Raw genomic sequence first — 16,729 nt, 5'->3', positions numbered from 1 at the left:
ATCCAAGAGACCTAGGTGGGATGTGCCACCGCACTCCAGCATGGGCAACACAGACCCTGTCTTAGAATAAAAAAGCAAAACCAAAACAGAACCCCACCACCGTCCAAGTGTGATAAGCATGCTCTGCAAATGTATTACCGAGATCAGCATCAACTTCAACGTTGCTTTTCTCAAACCGTAATTCACCAAAGGGAAGCACTTTCTTTTCTTTTAGACAACAGAAAGGGCTTCCCTTTGCAGTCACAGCTTGAGATCTTCTTGCTCCGGCACTCTGGGTTTCTTGTTGAAATTTTCCTTGACCAGGTCAAAACGGACACAAAAATAAAGATGCATGTATTGGCCCTGTTTGCATGTTTTCTGGAATCCAGAACATAAACCCCTAAAAGGACCATCTCCAGTTCCTTGCTTCAAAGAATCTGCAAGTTAGCCTTGTTCACCAAGGGGCAATCCTCCTGAGTTTTGTCTCTAAAGGGAAAAAGCAATGCCTACTACACATACCTTATCTTTACCGAGAACTGAGCTGGATGTCTAGAGAAAAGCGACGGATTTTGAACCAAGTGTTCACCTGAGTTCCAGTACAGGGACACAGTCCTGATGGGAGCATCCAAAATGGAATCTAAATTAGCCAGGCATGGTGGTGCATGCCTGTAATCCTAGCTTCTCAGGAGGCTGAGGCAGGAGAATTGGTTGAACCAAGGAGGAGGAGGTTGCAGTAAGCCACGATCGCGCCACTGCACTCCAGCCTGGGAGACACAGCAAGACTCCGTCTCAACAATAAATAAATAAATAAACAAATAAATAAAAATACAAAAATTAGCTGGGTGTGGTGGCTCACACCGGTAATCCCAGCTGCTCAGGAGGCTGAGTCAGGAGAATGGCTTGAACCTAGGAGGCGGAGGTTGCAGTGAGGAGAGTTTCTGCCACTGCCCTCCAGCCTGGGTCACAAAGCAAGACTGAACCAAAAAAAAGGACCACTCGAGCCCAAGAGATCTATGTTAAAAATGCCACCGCACTCCAGCCTGGGCAACAGACACCCTGTGGTAGAGAAAAACAGGCCGGGCGCAGTGGCTCACAGTTGTAATCCCAGCACTTTGGGAGATCGACGTGGGTGGATTACCTGAGGTCAGGAGTTCGAGACCAGCCTGGCCAACATGGTGCAAACCCTGTCTCTACTAAAAATACAAATAATTAGCCGGGCATGGTGGCACAGGCCTGTAATCCCAGCTACTCAGGAGGCTGAGGCAGGAGAATTGCTTGAGCCTGGGAGATGGAGGTTGCAGTGAGCCGAGATCACGCCACTGCGCTCCAGCCTGGGCCACAGAGCAAGACTCAGTCTCAAAAACAATAACAAGGCTGGACGCGGTGGCTCACGCCTGTAATCCCAGCACTTTGGGAGGCTGAGGCGGGTGGATCACGAGGTCAGGAGATCGAGACCATCCTGGCTAACACGGTGAAACCCCGTCTCTACTAAAAATACAAAGAATTAGCCGGGTGTGCTGGCGGGCACCTGTAGTCCCAGCTACACAGGAGGCTGAGGCAGGAGAATGGCGTGAACCCGGGAGGCAGAACTTGCAGTGAGCCGAGATAGCGCCACTGCACTCCAGCCTGGGCGAAAGAGCAAGACTCGGCCTCAAAAAAAAAAAAAACAAAAAACAAAAAACAGAAAAACCCCAAAACTAAACAAAACAAAACAAAAAAAAACTCAGAAGCCCAACATCATCCAAGTCTGATTATAAGCATTCGCTGCAAATTTATTACCAAGATCAGCATCAGCTTCAATGTTGCTTTTCTCAAACAGTAACACTCTAAAAGGATGCACTTTCCTTTCTTTCAGACAACAGAAAGCGCTTCCCTCTAGAGTGTCACAGCCTGAGGTCTTCTTGCTCCGGCACTGTGGATTTTTTGTTGGAATCTTCCTTGACGAGGTTAAAATAGACACAAAAATAAAGATGCATTTATTTGTCCGGTTTGTGTGTTTTCTAGAATCCAGAACATAAACCCCTAAAAGGACCATCTCCAGTTCCTTCCCTCAAAGAATCAACAGGTTAGCTTTGTTCATCAAGGGGCAATCCTCCTGAGTTTTGTTCCCAAAGAGAAAAAGCAATGCTTACTACTCATACCTTACCTTTAACCAAGAGAATTAGGCTGGATTTCTAGAGAACAGCAATGGATTTTGAGCCAAGTGTTCACTTGAGTTCCAGTACAGGGACACACAGTCCCAATGAGGGCATCCAAAATGGAATCTACGATGTTGAAGAATATACATTGTCGTAAACAAAAACATTCTCCCGGAGAGACCACAGGCTATGCTGTAAAAGCTCCTCAATACAATTTGAACGGAAACACACAAGTACTGTTGGGACACGGTGGCTCACAGCACTTTAGGAGGCTGAGGCGGGAGGATCACTTGAGCTCAGGAGTTCAAGATGAGCCCGGGCAACATGGTGAAACCATGACTGTAAAACAAATACAGAAGTTAGCCAGGTGTGGTGGTGCACGCCTGGAGACAGCTGTTCAGGAGGCTGAGGTGGGAGGTAGAGGTTGCGGTGAGCCAAGATCGCACCACTGCACTTCAGCCTGGGTGACAGAGCGAGACTCTGTCTCAAAAATAAATAAATAAATAAATAATAAAAAATACAAAAATTAGCCAGGCATGGTGGCACATGCCCGTAATCCCAGCTGCTCAGGAGGCTGAGGCAAGAGAATCGCTTGAACCTAGGAGGCAGAGGTCGCAGTGAGCAGAGTTCCTGACACTGCACTCCAGCCAGGGCCACAGAGCAAGACTCTATCCCAAAATAGAGGGCCACTTAAACCCAAGAGGTCTAGGTTGGAAGTGCCACCGCACTCCAGTTTGGGCAGCAGACACCCTGTCTAGGAAAAAAAACAAAACAAAACAAACGCAAAACTTCAACATCATCCACGTCTGATTATAAGCATTCTCTGCAAATGTGTTACCAAGATCAGCGATGCTTTTCTCAAAGCGTAACACTCTAAAGGGAACCATTTTCTTTTCTTTCAGACAACAGAAAGCGCTTCCCTCTAGAGGGACACAGCCTGAGATCTTCTTGCTCCAGCATCGTGGATTTTTTGTTGGAATTTTCCTTGACCAGGTTAAAACAGACACAAAAATAAGCACGCATTTATTGGTCCTGTTTGCATGTTTTCTGGAATCCAGAATATAAACCCCTAAAAGGACCATCTCCAGTTCCTTGCTTCAAAGAATCAGCAGGTTAGCTTTGTTTATCAAGGGGCAATCCTCCTGAGCTTTGTCTCCAGAAAGAAAAAGCAATGCCTACTACACATACCTCATATTTACCCAAGAGAATTGGGCTGGATTTCTAGACAACAGCAATGGATGGAGAGCCCAGTGTTCACTTGAGTCCCAGCACAGGGACACACAGTCCTGACGGGAGCATCCAAACTGCAATCTAAGATGTTGAAGAATGTACATTGTCTCACACACAAACATTTTCCAGGATAGACCACAGGTTACGCTGTAAAAGCTCCTCAGTAACATTTGAACAGAGATACACAAGTACAGGTGGGGCGTGGCGGCTCACACCTCTAATTCCAGCACTTTAGGAGGCCGTGATGGGAGGATCACCTGAGCACAGGAGTTTGAGACCAGCCCCGGCAACATTGTGAAACCCCATGTGTACAAAAAATACAAAAGTGAGCCAGGTGTGGTAGTGCGTGCCTGTAGACACTAATTCAGTAGGCTTAGGTCGGGGGTGGAGGTTGCAGTGAGCTGAGATCACACCACTACACTCCAGCCTGGATGACAGAGCCAGACCTTGTCTCAAAAATAACCAACCAAACAAAACACACACACACACACACACACACACACACACACACACACACACACAAATACCCAAAGTGATATAAGACTATTCTCTGTGCATAGAAGAGTATTTTGTGTGTATGTGATATTACATATATAAAAATATATCATGGCCGGGCATGGTGGCTCACATCTGTAATCCCAGCACTTTGGGAGGCTGAGGTGGATGGATCATCTGAGGTCAGGAGTTCGAGACCAGCCTGACCAACATGGAGAAACCCCATCTCTACTCTAAATACAAAAAATTAGCTAGGCTTGGTGGCACATGCAAGCAATCCCAGCTACTTGGGAGGCTGAGGCAGGAGAATCGCTTGAACCCAGGAGGCAGAGGTTGCCGTGAGCTGAGATCGTGACATTGCACTCCAGCCTGGGCAACAAGAGTGAAACTGTGTCTCAAAAAACAAACAAACAGAAAAAACAAAAAAGAAAGCTCCATATATTGTATTCTCACAGGAAGTATAATTCCTACGCATATGTGCTTGCTTTGGCAATACGCATAAAAAAATTGAAATAACAAAGATTACCATGACCCCTGCACAAAGGTGACACTCAAATTCATAATGGTACCATATTTATCTATTTAATTCTTTTTACTTTTATTTTGTTTATTTATTTACTTATTTTTGATACAGAGTCTCGCACTGTCGCCCAGGCTGGAGTGCAATGGCCCGATCTCGGCTCACTGCAACCTCCGCTTCCTGGGTTCACACGATTCTCCTGCCTCAGCCTCCCAAGTAGCTGGGACTACAGGTGCCAGCCACCATGCCCAGCTACTTTTTTGTATTTTTAGTAGAGATGGGGTTTCGCCATGTTGGCCAGGCTGGTCTCGAACTCCTGACCTTGTGATTTACCCGCCTTGCCTCCCAAAGTGCTGGGATTACAGACGTGAGCCACCCTGTCTGCCCTACTTATTTATTTTTTGAGACAGAATCTCGCTCTGTCGCCCAGGCTAGAGTGCAATGGTATGATTTCGTCTCACTGCAATCTCCTCTTCCTGGGTTCAAGAGGTTCTTCTGCCACAGCCCCCCAAGCAGCTAAGATTACAGGTGTAATTTTGTATTTTTAGTAGAGTCGAGGTTTTGCCTTGTTGGCCCAGCCAGCCTTTAACTCCTGACCTCAGGTGATCCACCTGTCTCGGCCTCCCAAAGGGCTGGGATTACAGGCATGTGCCACCACGCTCGGCCTATTTTTTATTTTTTTGAGATGGAGTCTCACTCTGTTGCCCAGGCTGGAGTGCAGTGGAACGAACTCAGCTCACTGAAAGCTCAGCCTCCTGTCTCTACTAAAAATACAAAAATTAAGGCCGGGCGCAGTGGTTCACGCCTGTAATCCCAGCACTTTTGGAGGCCAAGGCGGGTGGATCACAAGGTCAGGAGATCAAGACCATCCTGGCTAACACAGTGAAACTCTGTGTCTACTAAAAATACAAAAAATTAGCCAGGCGTGGTGGCGGGCGCCTGTAGTCCCAGCTACTCAAGAGGCAGAAGAATGGCGTGAACCTGGGAGGCGGAGGTTGCAGTGAGCTGAGAACACGCCACTGCACTCCAGCCTGGGCGACAGAGCAAGCCTCCATCTCAAAAGCAAAACAAAACAAACAAACAAAAAACTCAAAACCAAAACAGAACTACACCGTCGTCCAAGTCTGATGATAAGCAGGCTCTGCAAACTTATTACCAAGATCAGCATCAGCTTCAACGTTGCTTTTCTCACACGGTAACACTCTAAAGGGAAGTGCGTTCTTTTCTTTTAGACAACAGAAAGTTCTTCCCTTTGGAGGGTCACAGCCTGAGATCTTCTTGCTCCAGGACTCTGGGTTTTTTGGTGAAATTTTCGTTTACCAGGTTAAAATGGACAGAAAAATAAAGATGCATTCATTGTCCCTGTTTGCATGTTTTCTGGAATCCAGAATATAAACCCCTAAAAAAACCATCTCCAGTTCCTTGCTTCAAAGGCTCAGCAGGTTAGCCTTGTTCATGCAGGGGCAACCCTCCTGAGTTTTGTCTCCAGAAAGAAAAATCAATGCCGACTAGACATACCTTATATTTCACCAAGAGAATAGGGCAGGATTTCTAGAGAACAGCAATGGATTTTGAGCCAAGTGTTCACTCGAGTTCCAGCACAGGGACACACAGTCCCGATGGGAGCATCCAAAATGGAATCTAAAATGTTGAAAATGTACATTGTTATATACACAAACATCCTCCAGGATAGACCACAGACTAGGATGTAAAAGCTCCTCAATACAATTTGAGCAGAAACAAACAAGTACGGGTGTGGCACGGTGGCTCACACCATTAATCACAGCAGTTTAGGAGGCCGAGGTGGGAGGACCACTTGAGCTCAGGGGTTCAAGACCAGCCTGGGCAACATGGTGAAACCTCATCTGTACAAAAAATGCAAAAGTTAGCCAGGTGTGGGGGTGCATGCCTGGAGACAGGTATTCAGGAGGCTGACATGGGAGGTGGAGGTTGCGGTGAGCTGAGATCACACCACTGCACTACAGCCTGGGCAACAGAGTGAGACTGTCTCAACAACAAACAAATAAATCAATTAAAAAAATGCAAAAATTAGCCGGGCGTGGTGGCACATGCCTGTAACCCTGCTCGGGAGGCTGAGGCCAGAGAATTGCTTGAACCCAGGAGACAGAGATTGCAGTGAGCCAAGTTCCTGCCACTGAACTCCAGCCAGGGTAACAGAGTGAGACTCTGTTTCAAAAAGAGGACCACTTGAGCCCAAGAGATCTAGGTTGGATGTGCCACTGCACTCCAGCCTGGGCAACAGAGACACCCTGTCTCAGATAAAAAACAAAACAAAAACAAAACCCCACCATCATCCACGTCTGACCATAAGCATGCTCTGCAAATGTATTACCAAGATCAGCGTCAACTTCAATGCTGCTTTTCTCAAACCGTAACCCTCTGAAAGAAAGCACTTTCTGGGCGGGCGTGGTGGCTCACGCCTGTAATCCCAGCACTTTGGGAGGCCGAGGCGGGTGGATCATGAGGTCAGGAGATCGAGACCATCCTGCCTAACAAGATGAAACCCCGTCTCTACTAAAAATACAAAAAATTAGCCGGGCTTGGTGGCGGGCGCCTGTAGTCCCAGCTACACAGGAGGCTGAGGCAGGAGAATGGCATGAACCCGGGAGGCGGAGCTTGCAGTGAGCCAAGATCACGCCACTGCATTCCAGCCTGGGCGACAGAGCGAGACATTGTCTCAAAAAAAAAAAAAAAAAAAAAAAAGGACTTTCTTTTCTTTAAGACAACAGAAAGTGCTTCTTACCTCTAGATGGCCACAGCCTGAGAGCCTGAGATCTTGCTCCAACACCGTGGATTTTTTGTTGGAATTCTCCTGACCAGGTCAAAATGGGCACCAAAATAAAGATGCATTTATGGGTCCTGTTTGCATGTTTCCTGGAATCCAGAATATAAACCCTTAGAAGGACCATCTCCAGTTCCTTGCTTCAGAGAATCAGCAGGTTAGCCTTGTTTATCATAGCACAATCCTCCTGAGTTTTGTCTCTGGAAAGAAGAAGCAATGCCTACTAGAAATACATTATATTTAACCAAGAGAAACGGGCAGGATTTCTGTGGGTGGCAAGCCACCCAGGTGCCGAGGCAAGAGACCGAAGGCACAAGCTGTTCCGGTATAATAAAGAAACTCACCACAAGCCGTTCCAGTATAACAAAGAAAATATATAGAATAAGACTAGTTATACTAGAAATAGATTATAGATATGATTATATATGAATATTATTAATCATTAGTTTGTAGCATTACTCTTTATTCCAATATTATAATAATCTTTGTTCTACAATCATAACCTAGGGAAAACCAGGCCATACAGAGATAGGAGCTGAAGGGACACGGTGAGAAGCGACCAGAAGACAAGAGCGTGAGCCCTCTGTCATGCCCGGACACGGCCACTAGAGGGCTCCCTGGTCCAGCGGTAACACCAGGGGGAAGGCACCCGTCACTTAGCACAGCGGTAGCGCCAGTGCCTGGGAAGGACCCCCTTACCTTCCCAAACCCGGAGAGGGAGTCTCCCTTTCTCCAGGGGAGTTAGAGAAGACTCTGCTCCACCACCTCTTGTGGAAAGCCTGACATCAGTCAAGCCCGCCCGCAGCCGTCTGGTGGCCTAAACGTCTCCCTGTGATGCTGTGCTTCAGCGGTCACGCTCCTGGTCCACTTTCACGTTCCGCTCTGCACACCTGGCTCCGCCTTCTAGATAACGGTAGCAGAATAAGTGAAAGTATTAAAGTCTTTGATCTCTCCGAGAAATACATAGAAGAAATAATGACGTAAGCTGTCCCCAATCTCTCTCCGCCTAAGCTACCAAATAGGGAAGGGGCCCCCTGTCCGGTGGACACGTGACTCGCGTCATCTTACCTATCATTAGAGAAGACTCACACTTCTTACCCTGCCCTTTTGCCTCGTATACAATAAATAACGGCGCGGCCACGCATTCGGGGCCACTACCGGTCTCCACGTCTTGGTGGTAGTGGTCCCCCAGGCCCAGCTGCCTTTTCTTCTCTCTCTTTGTCTTGTGTCTTTATTTCTACAATCTCTCCTATCTGCTCACGAAGAGAAAAACCCACAGGCCCAGTAGGGCTGGACCCTACAGATCTCTAGAGAACAGCAGTGGATTTTGAGCCAAGTGTTCACTCGAGTTCCAGCACAGGGACACACAGTCCCGATGGGAGCATCCAAAACGGAATCTACGATGGTGAAGAATATACATTGTCGCACACACAAACATTCTCCAGGATAGACCACAGGCTGGGCGGTAAAAACTCCTCAATAAAATTTGAATAGAAATACACAAGTATGGCTGGGGTGCGGTGGCTCACACCTCTAATCCCAGCACTTTAGGGGCTGAGGCGGGAGGATCACCTGAGCTCAGGAGTTAGAGGCCAGCCCCGGCAACATGGTGTAACCCCATATGTACAAAAAATACAAAAGTTAGCCAGGTGTGCTGGTGCATGCCTGTAGACACTAATTCAGCAGGTTTAGGTGGGGGGCGGAGGTTGCAGTGAGTTGAGATCACACCACTACACTCCAGCCTGGGCGATAGAGCCAGACCTTGTCTCAGAAATAACCAAACAAACACACACACACACACACACACACACACACACACACACACAGAAACAAAGAAAAATACCCAAGGTGATATCAGGGTATTCTCTGTATTTAAACAGTATTTTGTGTGTATACGATTATATTATATATATGATGAAATACACATCATATTTTTGAGACCCTGTCTCAAAGAATGTTCCATATATTATATGCTCACAGGAAGGATAATTCCTACATGAGTGCTTGCTTTGGCAGTGCACATAAAAAAAATTGGAATGACAGAGATTACCCTGGCCCCTGCACAAAGGTGACATCCAAATTAATGATGTTCCTGTATTTATGTATTTATTTTTATTTATTGATTTTATGTCATTTTTATTATTTATTTATTTTTGAGACACAATCTTGCTCTGTGGCCCAGGCTGAAGTGCAATGGTGTGATTTCAGCTCACTGAAATCTCCTCCTCCTGGGTTCAAGCTATTCTCCTGCCTCAGCCTCTGGGTAGCCGGAATTACAGATGTGTACCACTGCACCCAGATAATTTTTGTATTTTTAGTAGAGACGAGGTTTTGCCATGTTGGCCCTGTTGGTCTTGAACTCCTGACCTCAGGTAATTCCTGTCTTGGCCTCCCGAAATGCTGGGATTACAGATGTGCACTACCACACCCCGCCTTTTTTTTTTTTTTTTTTTTTTTGAGACGGAGTCTTGCTCTGTCACCCAGGCTGGAGTGCAGTGGTGCGATCTCAGCTAACTGCAAGCTCCGCCTCCCGGGCTCAGGCCATTCTCCTGCCTCAGCCTTCTGAGTAGCTAGGAGTACAGGCGCACACCATCACGTCTGGCTAATTTTTTTTTTTTTTTTGTATTTTTACTAGAGACAGGGTTTCACCGTGTTAGCCAGGATGGTCTCAGTCTCCTGACCTTGTGATCCACCCACCTCGGCCTCCCAAAGTGCTGGGATTACAGGCGTGAGCCACCGCGCCCGGCCCACACCCAGCCTATTTTTTACTTTTTTGAGACTGAGTCTCACTCTGTTGCCCAGGCTGGAGTGCAGTGGCTCAATCTCAGCTCACTGAAAGCTCAGCCTCCTGGCTTCAAGTGATTCTCCTGCCTCAGCCTCCTGAGTAGCTGGGATTGCAGGGGTGCACCACCACCCCGTCTGGCTAATATCTATATTTTTAGTTCAGACGAGGTTTCATCATGTTGGCGAGGCTGGTCTCAAACAACTGACCTCAGGTGATCCTCCTATCTCAGCCTCCCAAAGTGCTGGAATTACAGGCGGGAGCCACCGTACCCAGACTAGTCCCATCATTAAAATTAGGGAAAAAACAAAGATGCCCACACCTGAACAGCAAATCATTTGTTGTTCAAGGACATCTCAGATACATTGTTTGTCTAAAATACAAGTTTAACTGAGGGCCCGGTGTGAACCAAATAATGGTTCTTACATTCTTCTTGTCTGTGCATGGGTTAATATTCACATGTAGTCCCATCTAGCAAGGACTGCGGGGGGCAGAGGCAGGAGGATCTAAGCCCACTTTAGCCAGGGTGGCATAGTGAGACCCCCGTCTCATGCATTTATTTCCTGGTCACGCACCCAAGATTTCAGCTTCATTTCCCCAATAAACACTGAAGCCCCATGCACTCCACCTCCGTGCTCTTGCTCATCCCATCTGCAGGGACACTGAGGTCCCTTCAACTCCACCTGACCCCACGTGAGGTTCTATACCAGTGCCAGAAAAATTTCGATAAAGTAAGAGGTGTTGATGGCCACGCACCATGGCTCATGCCTTTGGGAGGCCGAGGCGAGCAGCTCACGTGAGTTCAGAGGTTTGAGACCAGCCTGGTCAACATGGTGAAACCCCGTCTTTACTTGAAAAAAAAAAAAAAAAAAAAAAAATTCAGGCCGGGCATGTTGGCTCACACCTGTAATCCCAGCACTTTGGGAGACTGAGGCAGGTGAATCATTTGAGGTCAGGAGTTCGAGACCAGCCTGACCAACATGGGGAAGCCCCATATCTACTAAAAATACAAAATTAGCCAGGTGTGGTGGCACATGCCTGTAATCCTAGCTACTCAGGAGGCTGAGGCAGGAGAATCACTTGAACCCAGGAGGCTGAGGTTGTATGGGCCGAGATCATGTCATTGCCCTCCAGCCTGGGCAACAAGAGTGAAACTCCATCTCTCTCTCTCTCTTTCTCTCTAACACACATACACACACATACGCACACATTCGAAAAGCAGTCAGGCGTGGTGGTAAGCGCCTGTAATTCCAGCTACTCAGGAGGCTGAGGCAGGAGAATTGCTTGAACCTGAGAGACAGAGGTTGGAGTCAGCCGGGATCGTGCCATGGCCCTCCAGACTTGGCAACAGCAAGACTCCACCTAAAAAATAAATAAATGAATGAATAAAAAAGAAAAATACAAATATTAGCTGGGCATGATGTCAGGTGCCTGTAATCCCAGGAAGCTGAGGCAGGAGAATCACTTGAACCCAGGAGGTGGAGGGTGCAGTGAGCTGAGATTGCACCACTGCACTCCAGCCTGAGTCACAGAGCAAGACTCTGTCCCAAAAAGGACCATTTGAGCCCAAGAGACCTAGGTTGGAAGTGCCTCTGTACTCCAGCCTGGGCCACAGAGACCCTGTCTTAGAAAACAAAAAAAACCCAGAACCCCAACATCATCCAAGTCTGATGATAAGCATGCAAATATATTACCAACATCAGCATCAACTTCAACACTGCTTTTCCCAAACAGTAACTCTAAAGGGAAGCACTTTGTTTTTTCTCAGACAACAAACAGAAAGTGCTTCCTCTAGAGGGTCACAGCATGGGATCTTCTTGCTCCAGCACTCTGGGTTTCTTGTTGGAATTTTCCTTGACCAGGTTAAAATACACACAAAATAAAGATGCATTTATTGGCCCTGTTTGCATATTTTCTGGAATCCAGAACATAAACCCCTAAAAGGACCATCTCCAGTTCCTTGCTTCAAAGGCTCAGCAGGTTAGCCTTGTTCACCAAGGGGCAACCCTCCTGAGTTTTGTCCCCAAAGAGAAAAAGCAAAGCCTACTACACATACCTTATATTTAACCAAGAGATTAGGGCAGAATTTCCAGAGAACAGCAATGGATTTTGAGCCAAGTGTTCAGCTGAGTTCCAGGACAGGGGCACACAGTCCCGATGGAAGCATCCAAAATGGAATCTACAATGTTGAAGAATATACATTGTCTCACACACAAACATCCTCCAAGATAGACCACAGTCTAGGCTGACTCTACAGGACCATTTGAGATTAGGGGTGATGGCTCACAGCTGTAATCCCAGTACTTTGGGAGGCCAAGGCTGGTGGATCACCTGAGGTCAGGAGTTTGAGACCAGCCTGCCCAACATGGTGAAACCCCATCTCTACTGAAAACACAAAAATTAGCTGGGTGGGGTGGTAGGCACCTGTAATTCCAGCTATCTGGGAGGCTGAGGCAGGAGAATCACTTGAACCCGGGAGGCCGAGGTTGCGGTGAGCCGAGATCGCGCTATTGCCCTCCAGCCTGGGCAACAAGAGCGAAACTCCGCCTCAAAAAAAAAAAACAAAAAAACAATAATAATTAGCAAGACCTGATGGCAGGCAACTGAATTCCCAATGATTCGGCAGGCTGAGGTGGTAGAAACACTGGAACCTGAGAGGTGGAGTTTCCGGTCAACAGAGATTCTGCTACTGCACTCCCAGTGAAACCAGAGTGGGTCTCAAAAAATCAAAAAATAAAAAGAGGACCACTTGAGCCCAAGAGATCTCGGTTGGAGGTGCCACCCACTCTAGTCTGGGCAACAGAGACACTGTCTTGGAAAAAAAAAACAAAACAAACAGAACCCCAACATCATGCACGTCTGATGATAAGCACGCTCTGCAAATGTGTTACCAAGATCAGCAGCATCTTCAACGTTGATTTTCTCAAACAGTAACACTCTAAAAGGATGCACGATCTTTTCTTAGACAACAGACAGTGCTTCCATCTAGAGGGTCACTGCCTGAGATCTTCTTGCTCCAGTACTCTGGGTTATTTTTTATGTATTTATGTATTTATTTATTTATGTATTTATTTTTTGAGATGGAGTCGCCCAGGCTGCAGTGCAATGGTGTGATTTTAGCTCACTGCAATCTCCTTCTCACGGGTTCAAGAGATTCTCCTGCTGCCGCCTCCCACGTAGCTGAGACTACAGGTGTGTACCACCACGCCTAGCTATATTTTGCATTTTTAGTAGAGAGGAGGTTTTGTCTTGATGGCGGGGCTGCTCTTGAACTCTGACCTGAGGTGATCCACCCGTCTCGACCTCCCAAAGTGCTGGGATTACAAGCGTGTGCCACCGCACCCGGCCTATTTTTTATTTTTTTGAGATTGAGTCTCACTGTTGCCTAGGCTGGAGTTCAGTGGTGCGATCTCAGCTCACTGAGAGCTCAGCTTCCCGGCTTCCTGTGATTCTCCTGCCTCAGCCTCCTGAGTAGCTGGGATTACAGGCGTGTACCACCACCACACTGGGCTAAGTTTTGTATTTTTAGTAGAGATGGGGATTCACCATGTTGGCCAGGCTGGTCTCAAACAACTGACCTCAGGTGATCCTCCTGTCTTGGCCTCCCAAAATGATGGAATCACAGGTGTGAGCCGTGGTACCCAGCCTTGTCCTATACTTAAAATTAGGAACAAAAAAAGATGCCCACACCTAAACAGCAAATCATTTGTTGTTCAAGTACATCTCAAATACATTGTTTATCTGAAATAGAAATTTAAGTGGGGGTGGGGCATGAATCAAAGAACAGTCCTTACTTTCCTCTTCCTGTACATGAGTTAATATTCACATGTAGTCCCAGCTACTAAGGACTGGGGAGGGCCAGAGGCAGGAGGATCTAAGCCCACTTTAGCTTGGGCGGCATAGTGAGACGCCCGTCTCGTTGCATATACGACCTGGTCATGCACCCAAGATTTCAGCTTCATTTCCCCAATGAAAACTCAAACCCCATGCACTCCACCTCCATGCTCTTGCTGAGCAGTACACATCCCATCTGCAAGGGACATTGGGGTCCCCTTCACCTCTACCTGACCCCAAGTGAAGTTCCATAAACCAGTGCCAGAATAATTTCTGTGGGGTAAAAGGTGTTGATGGCCAGGCGCGGTGGCTCACGCCTGTATTCTCAGCACTTTGGGAGGCCGAGGCAGGCAGATCACCTAAGGTCAGGAGCTGAGTTCAGCCTGGCCAACATGGTGAAACCCCATCTCTGCTAAACATTCAAAAATTAGGCCAGGCGTGGGGGCGCATACCTGCAATCCCAGAAAGAGTCAGAGGTGGGCGGATGACTTGAGGTCAGGAGTTTGAGACCAGTCTAACCAACATGGTGAAATCCCATTTCTACTAAAAAAAAAATACAAAAAGTAGCCAGGTGCGGTGGTGTGCTCCTGTAATTCCAGCTAGTCAGGAGGCTGAGGAAGAATTGCTTGAACCCAGGAGGCAGAGATTGCAGTGAGCCGAGATCGTGTCACTGCCCTCCAGCATGGGTGACAGCGAGACTCCGTCTCATAAATAAATAAATGAATTTTTAAAAATACAAATATTATCCAGGTGTGGTGATGGGTGCCTGTAATCTCAGCTACTTGGGAAGCTGAAGCAGGAGAATCGCTTGAACCCAGGAGGCGGGGGTTGCGGCGAGCCGAGATCACATCACTGCACTCCAGCCTGGGTGAGAGAGAGAGACTTTGCTTGCAAAAAAGGACCATTTGAATCCAAGAGGGCTAGGTTGGACATGCCACTGCCACCGCACTCCAGCCTGGGCAACAGAGATCCTGTCTTAGAATGAAAAAGCAAAACCAAAACAGAACCCCGCCATTGTCCAAGCCTGATGATAAGCATGCTCTGCAAATGCATCAACTTCAACGTCGCTTTCTCAAACCGTAATCCAGCAAAGGGAAGCGCTTTCTCTTCTTTTAGACAACAGAAAGGGCTTCCCTTTGCAGACCCACAGCTTGAGATCTTCTTGCTCCGGCACTCTGGGTTTCTTGTTGAAATTTTCCTTAACCAGTTCAAAACGGACACAAATATAAAGATGCATGTATTGGCCCTGTTTGCAAGTTTTCTGGAATCCAGAATATAAACCCCTAAAAGACCATCTCCAGTTCCTTCCTTCAAAGAATCAGCAGGTTAGCCTTGTTCATCAAGGGGCAATCCTTCTGAGTTTTGTCCCCAAAAAGAAAAAGCAATGCCCACTAGACATACCTTATCTCTAACCAAGAGACTTGGGCTGGATTTCTAGAGAACAGCAATGGATTTTCAGCCAACTCTCACTTGAGTTCCAGCACAGGGACACACAGTCCCGACAGGAGCATCCAAAGTGGAATCTATGATGTTCAAGAACATACATTGTCACACACACAAACATTCTCTAGCATAGACTGTAGTCTAGGTTGACTCAAGAGGACCACTTGAGGCTAGGCGTGGAGGCTCATGCCTATAATCCCAGCACTTTGGGAGGCCGATGCAGGGAAATCACTTGAGGTCAGGAGTTTGAGACCAGCCTGGCTAACATGGTGAACCCCCATCTCCACTAAATGCAAAAACTGAGCCGGGTGTGGTGGCGCATGCCTGTAATCCCAGCTACTCGGGCTGCTGAGGCAGGAGAATCGCTTGAACCTGGGAGGTGGAGGTTGCAGTGAGTCAAGATTGTGCCATTGCATTCCAGCCTGGGTAAGAAGAGCAAAACTCTGTCAAAAAAAAAAAAAAAAAAAAAAAAAGGGGGAAATACAAATGCCCACACCTAAACAGCAAATCATTTCTTGTTCAAGTACATCTGAAATATACTATTGATCTGAAATACAAATTTAACTGGGTATCCCTGGCCTGGGAAGCTGCCTTCGGCAATTCAGATAGGAGTCTCCTTTGGAAGCTAATAGGTAGGAACATGGAGATGTCAGCAAAGGGAAGGGACTCTCAGGGATTTCTATGGATTATGCAGATGCCCTGCCAGATCCCAAACTTCCCCAAAAGATCCCAAGTCCAGGCAGAAAGGACCACTGGGGTCCAGAAACCAAATGTCTTGGCTCTGGGCGGGAGTCTTTGTCATCAGATTCCATGACTGAAAGACAGCCAGGAGCAGAGCGAAAATCCCAGGGGTTCTCTCTACCAGAAGACACAGACTCCGTCCAGATCAAACCCAAATTGTCGCCAGTTAGCGATGCCTGGCTCTCCGTTCCCCTTGGCTCATCCTGCCTGCACCGGTGCAATGCCCTGGTGTTCCCAGTCCAGAGGCCTTCACTCCTTCCAGTACCCCAGGAGGGTCACCTTGCAGTTCTCAGGGAGGAAGATGTGGTCTTCCACCCTTGTGAGCTTCCCAGGCATCAGGGTCTGCCCGCCCGACTCCATTCCCAAAGGATGTTCCGCCCAGTTCTCCCAGCCTCCTGCTTCCATCCAGGGACCACCCTTCAGTGGTAAGATTCACACTGCAGACAACCAGGACCAACCCATTATCCTCAATTACAGTGGTCACAACAGGCCACCTATTCAAAACTGATCTATGTGACATGCCCACAAGAGGCAGATCCAGAGCTAGAGAGATGCAAAGTGTTTGTCACGGTCTGGGTGGAAGAGTGGGGTGGGAACTGACTGCAAATGGGAATAAGCCTCTTTGGGGTGATGAAAATCTCCTGAACTAGAATGTTGGTGGTTGAAAATATGCTAAAATCATTCACACTTCAGAGTAAATTTCAAAAGGTTACTTCCTCAGTTCGCAAAAGTCAGAGACAGGGCCGGGTGCGGTGGCTGATGCC

The 16,729-nt window shown here is 47.4% G+C and overlaps 1 long non-coding RNA gene, 7 other non-coding genes and 2 pseudogenes across 9 annotated transcripts, besides 2 other annotated features; 2 read left to right on the top strand and 8 right to left on the bottom strand.

Annotated features, from left to right (window-relative positions):
* Positions 1-168: 168 nt before the first annotated feature.
* Positions 169-253, bottom strand: MIR527 (microRNA 527). The gene has a single exon (NR_030219.1). It is a non-coding gene; the product is annotated as a microRNA 527 (primary transcript).
* A 1,379-nt stretch (positions 254-1,632) lies between these two features.
* Positions 1,633-15,432, bottom strand: LOC124904765 (uncharacterized). 2 transcript variants are annotated; one of them, XR_007067334.1, is made up of 6 exons: positions 15,183-15,432; positions 12,004-12,126; positions 7,865-8,068; positions 7,127-7,365; positions 5,881-6,003; positions 1,633-2,243 (listed from the first exon to the last, which is right to left on the bottom strand). It is a non-coding gene; the product is annotated as an uncharacterized LOC124904765 (long non-coding RNA). The 2 variants fall into 2 exon arrangements; XR_007067333.1 differs by lacking the exon at positions 15,183-15,432 and having other exon boundaries at positions 12,004-12,284.
* On the bottom strand, positions 1,790-1,874 carry MIR519A1 (microRNA 519a-1). The gene has a single exon (NR_030218.1). It is a non-coding gene; the product is annotated as a microRNA 519a-1 (primary transcript).
* MIR522 (microRNA 522) lies at positions 2,974-3,060 on the bottom strand. The gene has a single exon (NR_030217.1). It is a non-coding gene; the product is annotated as a microRNA 522 (primary transcript).
* RNU6-751P (RNA, U6 small nuclear 751, pseudogene) lies at positions 4,320-4,420 on the top strand (annotated as a pseudogene).
* Positions 5,549-5,635, bottom strand: MIR521-1 (microRNA 521-1). Its single transcript, NR_030216.1, has one exon. It is a non-coding gene; the product is annotated as a microRNA 521-1 (primary transcript).
* Positions 6,471-7,069: an enhancer, noted in NCBI's record as "H3K27ac hESC enhancer chr19:54250456-54251054 (GRCh37/hg19 assembly coordinates)". NCBI's record gives its function as "activates a minimal SCP1, AML or CMV promoter by ChIP-STARR-seq in naive H9 embryonic stem cells {active_cell/tissue: H9 hESC(naive)}" and the evidence as "EXISTENCE:reporter gene assay evidence [ECO:0000049][PMID:30033119]".
* Positions 8,128-8,340: a silencer, noted in NCBI's record as "fragment chr19:54249185-54249397 (GRCh37/hg19 assembly coordinates)". NCBI's record gives its function as "represses an EF-1alpha promoter that drives an FKBP-Casp9 reporter gene in an ReSE screen in K562 erythroleukemia cells {active_cell/tissue: K562}" and the evidence as "EXISTENCE:reporter gene assay evidence [ECO:0000049][PMID:32094911]".
* RNU6-982P (RNA, U6 small nuclear 982, pseudogene) lies at positions 9,166-9,267 on the top strand (annotated as a pseudogene).
* Positions 11,672-11,759, bottom strand: MIR520H (microRNA 520h). The gene has a single exon (NR_030215.1). It is a non-coding gene; the product is annotated as a microRNA 520h (primary transcript).
* MIR517C (microRNA 517c) lies at positions 12,864-12,958 on the bottom strand. Its single transcript, NR_030214.1, has one exon. It is a non-coding gene; the product is annotated as a microRNA 517c (primary transcript).
* MIR518A2 (microRNA 518a-2) lies at positions 14,852-14,938 on the bottom strand. Its single transcript, NR_030213.1, has one exon. It is a non-coding gene; the product is annotated as a microRNA 518a-2 (primary transcript).
* Positions 15,433-16,729: the final 1,297 nt, after the last annotated feature.

This window comes from Homo sapiens, chromosome 19 (genome assembly GCF_000001405.40).
Source record: "Homo sapiens chromosome 19, GRCh38.p14 Primary Assembly".
In the NCBI taxonomy this organism is placed as follows: domain Eukaryota; kingdom Metazoa; phylum Chordata; class Mammalia; order Primates; family Hominidae; genus Homo; species Homo sapiens.
Note: the sequence above shows the minus strand (reverse complement) of the source record. Positions and strands in the feature narration are given on the sequence as shown.